Source organism: Homo sapiens, chromosome 12, assembly GCF_000001405.40.
Source record: "Homo sapiens chromosome 12, GRCh38.p14 Primary Assembly".
NCBI classification, from domain to species: domain Eukaryota; kingdom Metazoa; phylum Chordata; class Mammalia; order Primates; family Hominidae; genus Homo; species Homo sapiens.
This window is the reverse complement of record NC_000012.12, coordinates 124,268,851-124,288,736: the sequence shown is the minus strand read 5'-3', so window position 1 is coordinate 124,288,736 and position 19,886 is coordinate 124,268,851. Positions and strand designations below refer to the sequence as shown.

The window sequence follows — 19,886 nt, the reverse complement described above, 5'->3', positions numbered from 1 at the left end:
TGTCCTTTAAAGCTGTTTTCTTTCTCAACCCAGGGCTCAAACACACGTTGCATTTCACTTGATCTTAGCCAAAAGGCAGAGAAGCGATCACACACATTGCATTTCGTTGTCACTATTAGGAGACAATTCTTCATGAGTCTCCCGTGTTTATTCCCATCTTGCAAACAGAGGCCTTGGCCGCCCTTCATTCTGGGCTATCATTTCAATAACGTTTGTAGGGAGAACAGTTTTGAAAGGTAGAGATAGCGTCTCTCTTCAAATCAAAGGATAGGCATGCTTCCTGTCCACTGTAATAAAAATAATGGTTCCCTCTGGAGAAAAGTTCAGGCAGGCTTATTACCCACTGTGAAAGATTCGGGTTCCCTACACTCTGGATTTCTCCCCTGTCGTGCAAACAGCTGCATGTGCAAGGGTCACCTGGGCCCCTTCTAGTGGCCCTGTGGAAACCAGAGCTGGGGAACTGGCTCAAGAACATGCTGACCCCCTGGCTTCTGTGATTATTGTGAGTAATAACATCCTTTGTCTCTGACCCAGGAGTCTTGTGTCTTCTGCTTGAGTCTGTGAGACTGTGGCACAGCCATGTCTTCCCTGGCCAGCAGGGTGAAATCCCAGTTCTGTGTAGTAACATCTCTTTAATTCTTCGACCCTAACAGACCCCAAGCCTATTTTGCCTTTCCTGACATGGCTAGTTTTAACGAGTTTGGGCCAGTTGTAGAGCATCCCATGATCTGGATTTGTCTGATTGCTGTCTCAGGATTCGATGTAGGATAAACAATTTTGCAGGAATTTTTCAGGGTCCATGTTGCGCCATCAACTTCAGGAGGCACATCCCGTCAGCTTGTCCCACTGTTGGTCATGCTAGGGATGATCACTGGGTGGAGGTGGTATCCACCTCATTTCTTCGTGCTCAAGGTAGCTTTCCCTTTGTGATTTATCAGGAAGCTCTGGGGAGATATTTTGACATCTTGGGGATATCCTGCTCCCTGACAAGGCTTAAACTCCACAAACCCCAGCTGATGCATTGGTAAAGAGCTTTGTGCTAGACGATAGCCCCAGATACTATGACTATTATGTTTTCCTTTTGCAACAGAGAACGCATAGTCTGCAGAGACTAAACTATTTGCAATCTTGCCTTGTATAGAAAAAGTTGGCCGACCCCTGCAATAGTGGGTAGCGGGTGGTATAGGGTGAGTAGCGGGTGGTATAGGGTGAGTCTAGAGTTACCTTCAAGAAATCCCCTTCAATACACCCACCTTTCTACACCACTTTCTTTATCGTTTTTCAGCTTTTTAGGGGTTCACAATTCTCTTGCTCCCAAGTTGTAGAATGCTTAAAGTGAAACACATATACCTTTCTGGATAACACAATAGTGCGTGACACTCGTGGAAATGGCGCCCGTGCACAGCAGATGAAAAGTGTGAGCACTGCCCCCTCTGCATGCCTCTCACTCGGCGAATCTGTGCAAAGCAAATGTTTTGAGATCTTCTAAATGTGGCACACCATCCAGATTGCTTTCCAGTTATTTTGTCTGACTAGAAACTGTGATGTCACATAAATTGGTGACTGTGTCTGCCTGAATCCATAATGCCAAAACATCATTTGTTGATTTAGCAGGTTTGGGGATAAACAAGTTGTTATATTGAAAAAAAAAAAAAAAAAAAAAAAAAAAGGAGGGCTCCAAAAAGTGCTGTGGTTTTTCAAGAGCCATCATGGCAAAAACAAAACAAAACTCATTAATGGAACAGTCGTTTTGAACTACAGCTGAGTAAATTACCAGAAGGACATCTGTGCACATTAAAAGTAATATAGGATGTTCTGATGCTCACTTGAGTCATGCAAAAAAATGTTTAAAAATTTAAAAAAGTATATATAGCATGAAGTTCAGCCAGGTAAGAGCCAAGTGGCTGAAAGGCATTCAGGAGAGAGAGTGAGTCCTTCCCAGCTGATGAAAATGCAGAGATGGCAAGGAGGAAGCACAGTTTCCAGGGGCCCACTGGCCCCCGAAATGCCACAGGGTGAGTACGCCAGAGAGCGTGGCAAACGCACACCATTTCCATTCATTCCTCAAGGAAGACGCAAGTCCAGGCAAATATTCTGGTTGTGTGGTTTTTCAGCTGAAAGTGAAGACAAAGGGCATTGAGCAGGAATTAATGCAAGGCTCCAGGCTCCTGGCACGCTGCCCGGAGCTCCAGAAAGGGCAGAGTCTGGGGACCAGGCCCAGCCGGAGGGCAGGGTCCTGGAGTGGCCAGGGCTCAGTGATGCTCCTGGTGCAGTCCTGAGATGCTAAAGGAGGGGAGGGGAAGGGGGCTGTCTGTCATCCCTTCAATCAGCAGTGATGAGTAAGCACCTACTGTGTGCCGGTCAATGGGGGACAGAGCCAGGGACTAGTCATACTTGGTCCTCATTCTTGGGGGACATCCAGTCTGGGGTGGGGATTGGGGGAAGAAAATAATTAAATGAGGTAATTTCAGAGAGTTATAAATACTATAAAAATAAAATGGGTGATGGGGCAGAGAAAGACCCGTGGAGCGGCTTTCCACGGCAGAGGCCGGGCCACAAATATCCTTCAGAAGTGGCTTTTGAACCGAGAGCCTGGTGGGGAAAAGGGGCCGGCTCTGCAAAGAGCCTGAGAAAGGGTGTCCTGGCAGAGAAACAGAGGTGCAAAGGCCCTGAGGCTTCCTCTGTTCCTGCAAAGGCTCTGAGGCTAGCACACTCTGGAGGCATCTGTGTCCCAGGAAGAAGGTGAAGAGAGGCTTGGGGAGATGGGTGGGGAAAAAGAAGCACAGAAAGGCAAGAGAAATGGGTATGGGAGGGCGAGGAGACCAACCGTGGAGAACCAGAGGGAACTGAGGAAGAGAGTTCATGGAGGGCACCAGGGAAGAACTCCCAGACACATCCTTGTGTGTCTGGACAAAGGGGGGTGCAGGCGCATGGGGAGCAGCCCGCAAGGCCTCTGCTTCTCAGTGGTTCCTGCTCGTCTCCACATGCCTGGGCCTGGTGTCTTTGCTAGCTTTGTGTGTGCTTAGTTCTTATGTCCCCAATTGGATTATCAACTCCTCAAAGGCAGAAAGCACGCCTTATGCTTTTTTTCTTTCTGGACGGCACATCACACCATGCTTTTGCACATGGGGGATCATTAACTATATTGTCTGGATAAGTAGATGGATGGACGGATGGATGGATGGATGGATGGATGGATGGATGGATGGATGGATGGATGAATGGGTGGACTGAAGGATGAATGGACGGATAGATGGATGGATGGATGGAAGGATGGATGGATGGACATGGATGCTCATGTAACTTGACATTTCTGACACTCAGGCTGTTCTGAACCAAGGAAGACCAACTTGGTCAACAGAATCTAGGAGGTTTAGTAAGAAAAAGGATTATTGCTATGTAGGGAAAAACATGAGTGCCTGTGTGTTTTTTATTTTTTTATTTTTATGAAATGTCTGTGTTGTCCCCCTTCCCCAAATTTATATGTTGAAATCTCAATGACTAATATGATGGTCTTAGGAGGTAGGGCCTTTGGAAGCTGATTAGGTCATGAGGGTGGAGCCCCCATGAATGGGATTAGTGCCCTTATGAGACATGAGAGCTTCCTGTCACTCTCTACTTTGCATCATATGTGGATACAGTGAGAAGGAGGCTGCCTACAAGCCAAGAAGCAAGTCCTCACCAAGCACTAGCTCTGCCAGCACCTTGATCTTGGGCATCCCCACCCCCAGAAATATGAGAAATACATGTTTGTTGTTTAAGCCACTCAGTCTATTGTCATTTGTTCCAGCAGCCTGAACTGCCTTAGCCAGGTATATCAATGTAGAGATGAACTAGAACAGGGAGGTGATACCAAAGAGAGAAAGAAAAAGTAGCAAATGTGGCAAGATCACTAATGTTCACTGGTTTTCAAGTTCTTCTCTTCCTCCAGGAAACCACACTGTACTAAATTCCCCAGGCTTCTGTGTGGTTAGGTGCGGCCATGTGATTGAATTCTGAACACTACAATGTGAGTGGAATGGATGTGCACTACTACCAGACCCATAGAAACCACCCTCGCATTCCTTCTTCATCCACTGGCTGAATAAAGAGGACTCCGAGGGTATCAAGGAGGGTGGAGCCACAAGATGGAGGGAGCCTGGGTGCGTGAATGACTGTGTGGAGCAGAACCCTCGGGCTGACAGCTGAGCCTTAAGCCACTGAGATGCAGGGGTTGTTTGTTACAGTAGCTGCTGTCACTTATCCTGACCAATATAGAAGAGATAAAGAAGGTGAGAAGAAGGGGCTCTTTCTTCATGCAGAAGATTCTAGAAGAAGGGGACCTCAGCTCAGTGGAGTCTAGATGCCAACTGCTGGCAACAGGACAGGGACATGAAAGAATTCTCTCAGTGACATCAGTCTGGTAGACAAATCCATTAATGGAAGAACAGGAGGGCTTTATTTTTTCCAAGGGTTATAGGTACCAGAAAAAGGGCACCTGAAGCCAAGCTACTTGACATGGAGTCATAGCTCACATATTGTTAAAAGGAGAGAGAAAAAAGAGGTTTCGTTGGAACTTCATCTTGAAAAATAAATCTAAAATGATAAAAATGCAATAAGCTAATTTTATCTTAATTTAACAAGGCTTGGGAACTCTGCTGTAATTCTTAGAGCAGAAAAATGACAATGATTTTTTTTCTTTTACTTTCCGTATTTTTTCCCAGCAAGACTTTCTAAGGGCACAATTGACATTCTTCCCTTCACATTTGACTTTTTTTTGCAGCTCTTTGGTTCAGAATTAATCTTTTTTTTTTTTAAATGTTCAAGGGCTTAATCATCATTTCCATGAGCTTCTTTTAATCCTTTGAAATTCAAATCATTATCTTTCATGAGTTCAGACCCAGGCCAGCTTTAATATTGCCGGGTGAATTTTGGATCATGGTCATGCCCCATCACCAACTTCACACACAGACGGGGTCCGAAGTGTGTCCCTTTCTTTGTTCCCTCAAGGACATGCCAAGGGGGACCTCTGGAATCGCCACTTCCTGCCCAAGGGACTTAAAGAAGCAGTGTCTTGCAAGGGGAACCCGTCCATGGAACTCAAATGGCCAACTTGATTTTGGAGTAATTTGCTGACAGGAGTCGAGGTCAGAGTCGCTGACTGCACTTTCTTCTGGAAGGTTCCCAGGCTGCTGTTTACCCTGATTCCTGGCCATTCCTCATATTTCCTACAACTGTTTTTCTAGCCTACTTAGTTTGGTGACATTCATGGGGAAAATATCACAGCGGGCAGGAAGTTTTTGCTCAAAACTCAAACAAAGAGAAGGAAAGCAAGAGCAAAGGGAAAGAAGATTGAAAAAAAAAAAGACTTTGAGAAATACTGAGCGCTCCCGTTAAGCAAATAATTTCCCAAGGTTTCTTAACATACAAGGAAACGCGATCACTGCAAAAATAATCCAAGTTGAGGAAAATACCCGTTTCAGATTTATTTTCTGTACTTGTGCTGGACTCAGTGCACAATGAGGTTCCTGGTATCTGCTGATGTCCGGGCCCCAGGGGAGCCCCTGCTTGAGAGAATTCTGGACACCTAGGAGTGTCTTATCATTGTTTCCCTCTCCTGGGCTCAAGAAGTAGGGTGCTGGGTTTGTTTTTTTTCTGTTTCTTTCCCTGTGCAGGCTTCTAATCAAATGGGAAGTAGAATATGAGGGAATGTCTTTCTTGGAACCAGTGGCTGGATTCTTGTCACCTGTTAGGGCTCGGCCCAAAGTCACCTCCTCAGGGAAGCCTTCCCTGATCTTCCCATATAATTACCCCTCCCCCTTCCCCAGTCACTCTGTATTTTCTCACCCTGTTGATGGTCTTCACAGAATGAATCACCACCAAAAATTAGAGGGTTCATTTCTTTTTTGTGTCTTCTACCTTGGCAGGCAACTCCACGGTGGATGAGATTTTACCTGTGTTATTCACCAACCCGTTCCCAGTACCTGGAAGAATGTTGGACACATAGTAGGAGTTCAGTAAGTATTTGTTGAGTTAAACAGAATCCTTAATCTAAAAGCATTTAAGAAGAAATAATAGAAAATGCCATTGCATTCCAGAAAGAGTGGTCTCTAACTCCTGGGAGTTTCTTTATGGAAAAAGTTACATGCTTTGATTTTTTTTTTCCTATAGGTGATTCAATGAATGTACCTCTTATTTAAAGCACAGCATGAACTACTCAGGATCCTGGGGAAGAATACAATGAGGGAATTGTGTCAAGTCAGTCCTTGGCACGCTGTCTGATACACTGGGAGTGCTCAATGAATATTGGCATTTAATAATAATAACTCACACCGAGCTTATCATTTTCATACATGCTGCTATGAATCTATGACTTCCATTTCCAGGCCTTGTGGGTTTTTATTTGTTTGTTTGTTTGTTTTTGACAGAGTCTTGCCCTGTCGCCAGGCTGGAGTGCGGTGGCTCGATCTCAGCTCACTGCAACTTCTGCCTCCCGAGTTCAAGCGATTCCCCTGCTTCAGCTTCCTGAGTAGCTGGGATTACAGGTGCACGCCACCATGCCCGGCTAATTTTTTGCATTTTAGTAGAGATGGAGTTTCACCGTGTTGACCAGGATGGTCTCAATCTCGTGATCCACCCGCCTCGGCCTCCCAAAGTGCCGGAATTATAGAGATAAGCCGCTGCACCTGGCCCCTTCTGGTTTTTTAAGACGTTGTTTGATCTCTGTTACAATTCATCTTGTTCTGCTCTGCCAAAAATATTTCATGGTTTACCAGACTGTTCTCCCCAGCTTTGTATCATTTTTTAATGTGATCAGCCTAGGTTTTGAAGGCCTTGTGAAAAATCATTAATGAAAACACTGAACTGAGTGAAACAAGGGTAGAGCCCTGTGACATACCATTAGAGACCTTTCAGCAGGTTGGCATCAGCCACATGAAATCAGCCCTTCTTGGTTCCTCACTGTAATGGTTATGAAACCATTTAATCATGCTCTTACCCAGCTCACATTTCTCTATCTTATTTATGGGAAACAGAGGCAAAGTTTTTGATAATGCAAGCTGAACTTCAGATATCCTTATACTACAAAATTCCTCTCTGTATCACTCGTGTAACCCTATCAAATATATAAAAGGCATTTGTCAGGTGTGACTTGTTCTATGTGAACTCATAGCAGCTTTCAGAGACCACTTTTATTTTCTACATTTGAAAATGATTCTGTTAGTAACAGTGTTAGTCAGCTTCAGCTAAGTTCTGCCACAGTAACATACAGCCCCTGGCTCTCAGTGGCTTATAACAACAAAAGCTTATTGCTAACCCCACAAGTCCATTGCAGGCTGGCTGAAGTTTTTCTGCATATCAATCTTCATTCTAGGGACCCAGGCTAAAGGAGCAGTCCCTCTTGGAGTCATGTCAGTCTTGTGGTAGGGAGAAAAGAGAAGCGGAGGACCTCATGGTAGCTCTTGGGGATTCTGCCCAGAAGTGAAGCATGTTTCTTTTGTTCATACCTATTGGCCAAAACAAGTCACATGGTGAAGCCTGCTATCAACGGAGCAAGGACATACAGAAGTGTGGGATGCAGCCCCAGGGAAGGGCAGTGGCTATTTGGAACCATAATACAACCCCCCAGCTACATATTACTATGTACTTGAAGAGCAGAATCCACCTCCTACCTCTTTAGAAAATTGGGGTATTTTCCCAATACTATAGTGTCTGGAGTTATCAAAGCAGCAACAGCTCACTCATCTCATCTATCAGCATTCTGACAACTCTGGAATATAATTTGGATATTTTTGGGGTCACCCACCCCTGCAAGTGCCCGGTAGGTCAGGGTCTCCCCATAAATATCCAGATTATACCCTAGAGTTGTCAGAATGCTGATAGATGAGACAATTGAACTGCTGTTAGTTTGATAACTCCAGACACTGTAGTATTGGGAAAATATCCCAATTTTCTAAAGAGGTAGGAGGTGGAGTCCACTGTTCATGTATGTCATAACATATAGCTGGTAGGTTGTATTGTTGTTCAAAATAGCCACTGGCCTCTCCCTACAGATCGCCATCTAACATACTATTTATTACTTGGAAAAGTGACTTAGCCTCCCTTGCCTCAGTTTCCTTGTCTGTAAAATGGGGCTCATAACAGCATCTACCAAATAGGGTTGTTGTAAAAACTGAGTGAGTTCGTATGTGGGAAGCATGTCAAGCAGTGGTTGGCACAAAGTGAGTGCTGTCGCAGTGTTAGCTGTGGTGATTGTCATCGCCGTCATCATCATACGTGCATCCACTAGAGGGGCATCGATGGCGATTGTAACTTGGGCAGTGGAGGGAGACCAGAGCTGGTTAGGGTGCTACCCACCCAGCCCCCAGAGCAGACAGACCCCCAGGACACTGACTGCCAATCACATCACGTTTTCTCGACCTGAAAAATAACCAGCTGTGCAAACAATGCGCGCTTCCTTCCAGGGCTGCTGGGAAACCACTGAGGGGCGGTGCCCTGGTGAGCTTCCCCAGCCCTTGTCAGTCCTCCTTGGGGAGAAGGTCCAAGACTGGAATGCCCCAGAACCCATTGGCTGGTGAGGGAGAAGCTCCTGGCCTCTTCTTTGGCTGGTGAGGGAGAAGCTCTTGGCTCCCACAGGCCGGCAGCTGTGGGGAGAGCAACATTCCAGCAAAAGGCAGAGCAGGCAGGCTCAGGCTGGGGACCCACGCCGGCTGCCCGGGACCCACGCTGGCTGCCTCAGGACTCATGCCGGCTGCCCGGGACCCACACTGGCTGCCCTGGGATCCACGCTGACAGGACTCACACTGGCTGCCCGGGGCCCCTTCCTGTGCTCAGCCGAGACCCACGCTGGCTGTCCCAGGACCCACGCTGGCTGGACTCATGCTGGCTGCCCGGGACCCACGCTGGCTGCCTGGGCCCCTTCCCGTGCCCCGTTGGGCTCCTCTCAACCCATGTTTTACCCCGTTTCTGCAGAGAGCAGCTCCCCGCAGGTGCCATGGGATGGCTCTCACCTTAGTGCACACCCCGCACCTCTTGCTTCCTCCCCCAGGGTTTTGCGGATGCTGCGGTGTGTGTTGTACCTGCAAGAACCTGCTTGGACCCCCTGCCTGGGAAACCCAGGAGTGTGAGGGCAGGGCTGACATATACAGAGCCCCCCTCCCCGCCCTGTGACCAATGGGGGGCAGCGGCTGATAGACAATGCTTCCCTTTTCATCTGCGGGGGAACACTTCTGCGGCTGCTTTCAGGAGACTCCTGGGCAGCTCCCGCTGGATGCTGCACCAGCCCCTAAGGATCTGTTCATGGGCGCCCCCTCCTTCACTTCCCAGCCCCAGCCCTGCTCCTGGGCCCGATTCCCACACACGGCCTCTCACCAGCCTTCAGCTACAGCTCTGCTTGAGGGGCGAGCCCAGGCTGATACTGGTTTTCTCCCACTGTTCCTAATCTACCCCCATCTCTTATGCACGAACGTGTGTGCACGCCAATGCACATGAGTGCATTTACACACGCGCTCACACACGCGTGCACACGCGCACACACATGCACACACGCATGCACACACACACACATGCACACACACACAGGTTTGTGCTCCTCTCAGCCTCCAAACATAAACCAAACCACATCTGCAGGGAGACGATTTTCCGAGCGACAACCACAATTTAGCAAATGGAGCACAACCAGCTCCCCGCGGGCAAGGGCTGCATCTGCCATCGGCTGTGCTGTGCCCTGATGAGGACCAAGGTGGCGGGTGTGTGACCACTGAGACAGAGAGGTTTCACAGGGATGGGAGGGGTGCAGTCTGTTGGATGAGCCGTAGATTCGAGACCCTAAATTGCTGTATTTTCCTTCTCCTGGTGGAATGAATGCAGCCTCAGACAGATGCTGCCCCGCAGCTGTTTGTGGCAGGGGGCCCCGTGGCAGGCCAGTGACTTTGAAACGGGGGATTGGAATGGAGTCTGACAAAGGGGCCACTGTCTTTGAGGGAACTTGACTGAGCCCAGCACAGCCCGAGCAGCGGGAGTTTGCACAGCTGCGGCTGGAAGCAAACATGTACTTTTAGCTGACCTGGGCCCGTGGCTTTGGGCATTAAACCTGACACTTTCCAGATGTGCGGGGCCCTCCCTTTGGCACCGTGCACAAACACTCTGTCCCCAGGTACACACACACTCACACACACACTCAGGCACTGGCAGCGCAGCTCTGTAAATGCGGCATTGTGCTGCAGACCCAGGGCCCCTCGACAGATTCCACACCCAGACCCGAAGGGGAGGCCCCGGGCTGGGCTGGAAATTTATGAGCTGGATTTCAAAATAGTTCAAGTTCAAAGTCAGCTCAACAGCAGCTGCCTCCCTGACCACCATCATTCTTCATGCCTGGCTCCAGGTTGGGTGGTAAGGGGATGCTGAACATGCCTTCCAGAAGGTTCTTTTCTACCCATATTAGCATGGACCCCGAGAGCTCCAGCACCAGCGAGAGAGAGGCTCAGCAGGAGTTTGGGGAGCCAGGAGGGTACCCCTAATTGGCCACTCTCCCTCAGCATTGTTTGCACAAAGCCCCTGGGGCCCTGAGTCTAGGGGCAAGCCACAGTGTGGCCCACGGCTGCTCCGGGGTCTCCAAGGGCCTTACAGGCCACACTTGCCTGGCTCAGGCCCCTCCCTCCAGCTCCGTGCTCTGAAAACTGCCCTGCTCAGCAGTCCTAGCTGGAGGGTGGGAGGAAACAGATGTGCCAGGGCCCTGTGCTGACGGAGGCCACGTGACCGCAGGTTGGCGGGGACACTTGTATGGTCTCTTCCTCCCCAGTGAAGAAGAGGAGGAGGAGGGGGGTGGAGAGGAGGAGGCAGAAGAGGAGGAAGAGGGAAGGAAAAGAGGAGGAAGAGGAGGAAGAGGAGGAGGAGGAAGAGGAAAAGGAGAGAGGGGAGAGGGGGAGGAGAAAGAGGAAGAGGAGGAGGAGAAGGAAGGAGAGGGGGAGAAGGAGGAGGAAGAGGAAGGAGAGGAGGATGAGGGAAGGAAAAGTGGAGGAAGAAGAGGAGGAGGAAGAGGAGGAGGAGAGAGGGGAGAAGGGGAGAAGGGGAGGAGAAAGAGGAGGAAGGGGGCGGAGATCGGGACTGTAGGGGCAGCTTGGGCAGGAGGTGGCTTTCCCTGCTGGGTAAGTCCCCAGGGCCAACAGCAGGAGAAGCCCGACGGGGAGGGTGTGGCTTCCCTGCTGGGCTCGGGTACAGGAGAGGCTGTCCTCCCTACCTTGCTTGTGTGTGGCAGGTCCTGGGTTGTGGAGGCAGCCCAGGAAAGCCGTTAGCCAGGGACAGCACCGACTCACAGGCTGCTTATCCTCCTGGGACGAACCTGAGGATCCTGGAGATGCTCGCCAGCTCCCAGGATCTGGAAAGGACACTGGGAGGCTCAGTAACACCAGAACCCACACCTGGCAACCCCCTTTATCTTCCTTCCTCAAACACTTAACTAAGTCCCTCTGTGGGCTCCGGGTGTAGAATCTACCATTTCTTGTTATCTTCTTCATTCTTATTGGGGTGCAATTTTCACAGGTAAAGGGCACACACTGTGAAGGTGCAGCTTGGTACGTTTTTACAAATATGCCCCTACGTGACCACCACCCAGGTAAAAGCACAGGACACCGCCCACGCCCCAAGGGCTCCCTCGCTCCCCCTCCCAGGTGGCGACCCCCAGAGCATCCATTATGTTGACTTTCATCATCACTGATGATTTGTGCCTAAAGACGAACTAAGCTTCATCTTTTTCACCTAAACAAAGATGTAGAATAACTGGATCAACTGTAGATGCACCTTACAACGTGGGCTCTTTGTGCCCAGCTTCTTTTTTGGCCAACATAATACTCTTGAAATCCACCCGTGTTGCTGAGTGTGTTGGTAGTTTGTTCTTTTACTTGCTGAATGATATTCTTTTGTATGAATATACCATCATATGCTTTGTCCATTCTTTAGCTTGTGGTCATTTGGCTTATTTCCAGTTTGGGGTTATGAATAAAACTGCAACGGATATTCTTGTATTCTACATGTCTAAGAAACTATTTCTAATCCAAGTACCTTGAAGTATCTATCCCATCTAGCTAGCTATTTATCTATCATGTATCTTGATCTATCTATGTATCTATCATTTATCTTGATCTATCATCTGCCTATCTTGATCTATCATCTCTTGATCTATCATCTGTCTTGATCTATCTATCTTGATCTATCTACCATCTATGTATGTATGTATGTATCTATCTAATCTATCTATCTATCTATCTATCTATCTATCTATCTATCTATCTATGTGTTTGTCCGCCCATCTATCTATCTATCCATCCATCTGTTTGTCCATCCATCCACCCATCCATCCATCCATCCATCCATCCCTCCCTAGCACCTGCCAATCTCTGTATAACTGGAGGTCACTCATACTCGGAACAAGGTAACTCCTCTTTGGCTGCCCTTTCTTCTTTGTCTTTACCACTAAATGTTTTCAGGCCCACCCTGGACAAGGTCCACGCTAACCACATCACACGCATCATCTCATTGAACCTTGCCATCAGCCCGAGGGCAGGGATGATTTCTATAGAGGAGGAGAGAGGCTGAGTGAGGTGGGGTGACAGGCCTGAGGTTCCTGTGCTCACCAGCAGCGAAGGTGACATTAGAACCCAGGTGTCTCTCCTGCTGGAGCTTGGGCTCCACCTCTGGCACTGGTGGTGCGTGGCTGGACTGAGTGATGTCTCCCCTCTGCCAGCGCTTTCCATTCACAAGGACTTTCACAGCCACTGTGTGGGTTCCTCTTGTGGCTGTGACAAACTATCACAAACTTAGTGACTTTATTCTATTTTATTTTTTTGAGACAGGCTTGCTCTGTCATGCAGGTTGGAGTGCAATGGCATGATCCCAGCTCACTGCAACCTCTGCCTCCCGGGTTCCAGCGATTCTCCTGCCTCAGCCTCCCAAGTAGCTGGGATTACAGGTGTGCAATACCGCTCCTGGTTAATTTTTGTATTTTTAGTGGAGACGGGGTTTCACCATGTTGGCCAGGCTGGTCTCGAACTCCTGATCTCAGGTGACCCGCCCGTCTCGGCCTCCAAAGTACTGGGATTACAAGAGTAAGCCACTGCACCCGGCCCAAACTTAGTGACTTTAAAAACACACACATTTGTCATCTTCCAGCACTGTAGCTCTGACACGGGTCTCACAGGGCTAAGACCAAGGTGTCAGCAGGGCTGGTTCCTTCTGGAGGCTCTGGGGGGAATCATCTCCTTAACTTTCCAGCTCTGGTGCCCACCCACCAGCCCCAGGCTCACGGCTGAGTCCTTCTCATGCTACCCTCTCTAGATCTGCCCTCCATGGCCACATCTTCCTTTGGCTCTCTCTACTTCTGCCTCTCTCTCTCTCTCACTTTTAAGGACATTGTGATGACACTGAGCCCACCCAGATAATCTAGGACAACATCTCCATCTCAGGGTCATTGATGAGCAACTTTAATTCCCCTCTGCCACGTAACCCAACATATTTGCAAGTTCCTGGGATGAAGGTGGGGATGCCTTTTGGAGAGGGCCATTATTCTGCCTAACACATGCATTTTTCAGATCTGCTGCAAGCCTGCTTGGGTAGATGCAAGCTCAGAGACGTTAAGCTTGCAAGTGGCTGAGCCAGGACTGGAATTGAGGTCATCCAGATCCAGGTTTTCCCACCACTTACGATGCCTCCCTGGGTGATGGATAAGGCCCAGTCCCGTACTACCATTCATAGAAATATGATGCGGCCATAGTTTGAAATATGAACTCCTTTCCCTGGTTTTCTGCTAGTACAACTTCAGGGAAGGGTTGTTCCAGCAGAAATACAGAGAAGAACAAAAGATATTAATTTTTGTCTCTTGAGCATCAAAAGTTGGGATTTGGGCCTAAATGGGAGATTGGATATTCCCAGGGCCAATACAGCCCTCTCTCTACTCTTGCCAAGAGAGAATGGAAATTCCTCAGAGAAGGGGATCACAGAGGCAATTAGCCAGGACATCAGAGAGGGGCTGCTCCCCACCTCCTGTACTCCATCTCAGGCTCGGAACACCATGCTGAGATGAGGTGGTCCCGGGACTTGAGAACCAAGAAGACCAGAGCCTTGTTTTCTAGAAGTTTCCTCATACCAGCTTGCACAGGATCAGAAACACTCTGAGGAGTGGGGCAGTAGGTCCGTATTCTTTCCCATGGGTGCCCTGTGGCCCCAGAGTTTGGCGTGAGAGTATCTGAGGGTCCCTGGGGAGTACCCGCCCTCCCCTCCCCCAGAAGGGCCTGGCAGTCCTGAGGTACAAGGACTTGAAGTGAAGACTAGGAAAGAAAGGGGCCCCTTAAACTGTGGGACCAGCGACCCAGTCCACACAGGAAATTTGGAAATGTCAGCAAATGTCGGAGGGCTTCCCTGCTCAATATCCCCAAAGACCTTGTAGATCTCAAACCCAACCCCACTAAGGAATGGAAGGAGATACCATAAACTGCCCCCAGAACATTCTGATTTTAACAAAATGACCCTATATTGGCTGAGGTTCTGTTCTGCCAAGAGGTGGATTGGGGGCTTCGCACAGAAATTGAGTTAGAGAAAAATGAATTTATTTTGGAGAGCGGCATGTCTGAGCTTGTGGACCAGAAGTTGTGACCTGTCTCAGAAAATATAGAATTCACTGGGTCCTGAAGCACTGAGCCACACTGGAGCTCAGGGGTCTTTGAGGAGAGGCAGTTGTGTTAGGTGATGACAATGGCTCTGAATCTTTGTCCCTGTCCCAGACCCAAGATCTCTGCTTTAGAACCTTGCAGCACTTTCTTATCCGGACTCTGGGCCCACCCATGTGCCTTGCTTTGGCCAATAGAACTGAGGTAGATATGGTGGTGTAGCAGTTCCCAGCTAGGCCTCAAGGGGCCTTCCAGGTTTCCTGTTGCTCTTGTGGGCCTCTGTCATCACCATGGGAACTTGCCCAGGCTAGTCCTTGTCACTCCTGCTGAGGTCAGCCTAGATCAGTCAACAGTCAGCTGGCCCCCAGACACATGAGTGAGCCCAGCCAGACAGTCAAGCCACTAAACTGGCCCCTCACTGATTCCATAAGTGTGTGCAATGAACTGAGGTCTTACGACCATTACGTGGCATTATTGTGGCAATGGAAAACTGATACAAAGGTGTTAGGGAAAGCTTCTTGCAGGACAGGATGAAGCTTCCCTGAGATCACTTTGGGGCAAGATTTTGCCCAAGAAATTAATAATCAAATATTCTGAACATTAAAATGATTTGTTCCGATTTAATTTTTTGTCTTCCTGTCTTCGTCTGTTTTGTGTTGCAATATAGAATACCACAGACTGGGTGATTTTTTTAAATTTTATTTTATTTTTTGAGACGGAGTCTCGCTCTGTCGCCAGGCTAGAGTTCAGTGGCACGATCTCGGCTCGCTGCAAGCTCCGCCTCCCGGGCTCACGCCATTCTCCTGCCTCAGCCTCCAGAGTAGCTAGGACTACAGGCGTCCACCACCAGGCCCGGAGAATTTTTTGTATTTTTAGTGGAGACGGGGTTTCACCATGTTAGCCAGGATGGTCTCGATCTCCTGACCTCGTGATCCACCCGCCTCGGCCTCCCAAAGTGCTGGGATTACAGGCATGAGTCACTGCGCCCGGCCCAGACTGGGTGATTTATAATGAAGGGGAATTTATTGTCTTATGGTTCTGGAGGCTAGGAAGTCCAATATCAAGGTGCCAGCATCTGGTGAGAGCCTTCTTGCTGTGTCATAACATGGTAGAAGGCACTACATGGTGGGAGGGCAAAGAGGGAGAGAAAGAGAGGTAGTGGAGGGTGGGAAGAAAGAAAGAGAGAGAGAAAGAGGTAGAGGGAGAAGGCTGTCTCCTGTAACTCCTTGTAAGGGCACTAATCCCATTCACAAGGGCTCTACCCCCATGACCTAATTCTCAAAGGCCCCACCTCCTAATGCCATCACATTGGTGACTGAAGTTTCAGCATACGAATTTTGGGAGAACACATTCAGTCCATTGCAGTCATGGTGAAAAACAGTGTCTGAATCCTTCAAAATAATGATCAAAGAGGTTCTTTATTTAATTGAGAAGGGCTAACCCTTTCATCTCCACTATCCGTCAGGAATGGGTGAGGTGGGCCCCCTCCAACGCCATTTGCAGCCTTACCAGCCTCCCCATCAGCTGAGCGCTGGGCAGGTAGGACACCAGGCTGCAAAGGCCCCTGATGCTGAGTCCTGGGACACCATTCACTTTATTCTACAGTGAGCCCTGGTCCAGGCTAGTCTGCCTCCTCCCAAGGGGGATGATGTCCTGGAGGCTCTGGGTAACCCATGCCAGCTTCCCTGCCCCTCTGGGCCACTCTGCAGATCGGGCCCAATTTCCACTGCCCCAGCCAGCTCACGGATCCTCAGGATGAATTGCCACATTCTTCTCAGCAGACAGCCCCTTACATGCTCCACCTGTCTGCTTCCCACCGGAGCTCTGAATCCCCCTTTTGTGGAGCTGGTGGGGAGAGTGAGACATTTGGAGCTCTTGAACGATATTCTCTCAGCCCTGCCCGAGGACAAGGGCACCCCAGCATGTTGACTTGGTGTCTCCCAGGAAGGAAATGAGCAAAAAAAAGCCCTGAGCCGTGGCTCTCAGACTCGGGGAGTCTCGTTCCAGGCTCATTCTGGGAGAAGACTCAGATACACGGTTTTGTGATGCTGCTGGCAGCCTGCACATACATCATTTGAGGGTGAGCTTTTGTGCCTGGGGTGTTTGAGAAACACAGCCCTATTACGTGCTGAAGGACGTGACAGTGAGGTGAACTCCCGTGAGTTAATACACACACACACATGCACACATACACAGGAACACACACAGGGACAAATGACAGGCAAATAAGGGCTCTGGAGTGGATTAAATGGTGTCCCCTAAAGATATACTCAAGTCCTAGCTTCAGGTACCCACGAATGTGACTTAACTTGGAAAGAGGATTTTTGCAGATGTGATGAAGTGAAGAGGAGGTCGTACTGGGTTAGGTGGGCCCTGATCAAGGACTGTCCTTACAAGAAGAGGAGAGTGTAATCCCAGCACTTTGGGACCCCAAGGCAGGTGGATCACTTGAGTTCAGGAGTTTGAGACCAGCCTGGGCAACGTGGTGCAACCCTGTCTCTACAAAAAATACAAAAATTAGCCAGGTGTGGTGGTACATGCCTATAGTCCCAGCTACTTGGGAGGCTGAGGCAGGAGGATCGTTTGAGTCCAGGGATGCAGAGGTTGCAGTGAGCAGAGATCCTACCATTGCACACCAGCCTGGGCAAAACAGCAAGATCCTGTCAAAAAAAAAAGGAAGAAGAAGAAGAAGATGAAGAGGAGAGAATACAGACACACGAGGGACACCACATGAAGACAGAGGCAGAGATTGGAGTGGCGCAGCTACCAGCCAAGCAACGGCAGAGATTGCCAGCAACCACCGGAAGCTGGGCTAGAGGCCCGGGACAGATTATTCCGTAGAGAACTTCGGAGGGAGTGTGGCCCTGTGGACCCCTCAATTTCAGCCTCTGGCTTCCAGAACTGTGAGACAATGAACTTCTGTTGCTTCAGGCCTCCTTGTCATGGTGATTTGTCCCAACAACCTTAGCAAGTCCTGTGAAAAGGACCAGGAAAAGCAGGAAAAGAAAGAGACCTCCGTCTCTCGTAGCCTTCCCCTCCTTTCAGGCTAACAATTTTGCATGTTGTGAATGCTCTATTTGCTGGGGCACTTCTTTATCTACTTAAATATTTGCCAGGTGGTGAGGGGCCTGGGCTTACACTGGTGCTGGGATGGGACTGTTTCACTCGGAGTTGACATCAAAGTCATTGCAACGCCCCTCTAAGGCCCTGCAAGGCCCAGCTCCACCCTCGTCCTTCACTCTGACCCAGGCAGTGCTCTCTCCTCCGCCCAACCTGCCCTAGCCACCCAGGCCCTCCTGCTAGTCCTGGGATACACCAAGCTCGCTCCTGCCCCAGGCTTTACACTCATCTTCTCCCTGCCGGGACACTTTCCCCCAGATCTCTGCATGTCTTGTTTCCTCACTTCTCTCAAGTCTCTGCACATCTCAGGAAGGACTATGGCCCACTCTATCTGCATTTCAACTCATCTCCCCCACCCTCACTTGGCCTGCCTGCCCACCTTGTTCTTCTCTGTTTGATCCCATGCAACTTCTACCTTCTAGCAGATTCTATAATTGACTTATTTACTGTGTTTGCTACTGACTGTCTGTTTACCCTGTCAGCACATAAACTCCCCAAGGGCAGGGTTTTGTTTTGTTTTTTTTTTCCCAGAGTTTCGCTCTTGTCGCCCAGGCTGGAGTGCACTGGCATGATCTTGGCTCACTGCAACCTCCGCCTCCCAGGTTCAAGCGATTCTCCTGCCTCAGCCTCCAGAGTAGCAGGAATGACAGGTGCCCACCACCACGTCTGGCTGATTTTTGTATTTTTAGTAGAGATGGGGTTTCACCACGTTGGCCAGGCTGGTCTTGAACTCCAGGGCAGGGATCTTTGTCTGTCCTGCCCACTACTCTATCCCCAGCACCTAGAATAGTACTTGGCACACAGAAAGTGCTCAGTGAATACGTGTTGAATGTGGAGTGAATGACAAAGCATGTTTCCCCCTCCAAAGCCTCACACTCTGGTGGTAAAGCCTGAGTGTGTACAGAAAGATGTATAGCCTGGTGTAGGTGCTAGAATTCAGACATGCGCACATGAGATGGAGAAACCAAGGGAGGAACATGGTTAGCTGGGGCCACACTGCATCTGGAAGGAGAAATTCAGCACGTTCTGGGCATGGGGCTGGAGGAGAAAGATGCATTCCAAGGTCTGGGGATCTCACCTTGATTTCAGATCTCAGGCCCCCAGACCAAAGATTCCCAGTGGCCATGACTCAGGGAGTCTACCTGAGACTAGAAAGGTGGCTTCCTCTTTGGAGAGAGTCAAAGTTCCTGGGCCAAATTCCTTTATCTGTCAATGGGAACAATAACTAAAATACCTAAGACAGGTATGAAGATGAAAAGAGAAGGAATCGAAACGCTCGGTTACATTCCTGACACATGGGAGGAGCGGTGGGTCTAGGATCTGTGTGGATGAGGGTTAGGGGCAGCTGTCAGGAAAAGGGACCGAGGGACTCATCTGCAAGTTGGGTTTGCATAAGGGATGAGCTTCCTGTGGCTACTGTTCCAAATTCCCATAAACGTAGTGGCTTAAAGCCGCTAAGCCACACATTTATTCTCTCATCATTCGGGAGGTCAGAAGTGGGAAATGGGCCTAAAATCCAGGCGCCGCGGGGCTGTGTTCCTGGTGGAGGCTTTTGGGGAACATCCATTCCTTGACTTTTCCAGCTTCCAGAGGCTGCCTGTGTTCCTTGGCTCTTGGCCCCTTCCTCTGTCTTCAAAGCCAGCAGCATGGCATTCCCCAGGCTCTCTCTGACTCAGACCCTCCTGTCTCCCACTGTCACTTCTAAGGATGTTTGTGATGACATCGGGCCACCCCAGATACTCCAGGAGAATCTTCCCATCTGAGGATCCTTGGCTTACTCCCATCCGCAGTGTCCCCTTTGCCATGGAAGGTAACATAGACTCAGGGTCTGGGATTAGAACATGGACATCTGCAGGGGCTGTTCCATAGCAAGCCCACTATTGTTAGTTAGATTGACTGGGGTGGTTTGGGAGAGGAGGGTATTAGTGGGGATGACGGGAGCTGATATGGTTTGGCTCTGTGTCCCCACCCAAATCTCATCTAAAATTGTAATCCCCATGTGTCAAGGGAGGGATCTGGTAGAATGTGATTGGATCATGAGGACAGTTTCCTCCATACTGTTCTTGTGATACTGAGTGAGTTCTCATGAGATCTGATGGTTTAAAAGTGTTTGGCAGTTCCCCCTCCCTC

General features: G+C 49.3%; 1 protein-coding gene across 2 annotated transcripts in view, besides 1 other annotated feature; it reads right to left on the bottom strand.

Moving 5' to 3' along the window:
• The window catches only part of ZNF664-RFLNA (ZNF664-RFLNA readthrough), a 342,810-nt gene that overhangs the window by 27,288 nt on the left and 295,636 nt on the right, over positions 1-19,886 (bottom strand). The window lies entirely within an intron of this gene.
• Positions 14,768-15,047: an enhancer, noted in NCBI's record as "active region_7280". NCBI's record gives its function as "activates an Ori minimal core promoter by ATAC-STARR-seq in GM12878 lymphoblastoid cells {active_cell/tissue: GM12878}" and the evidence as "EXISTENCE:reporter gene assay evidence [ECO:0000049][PMID:35858748]".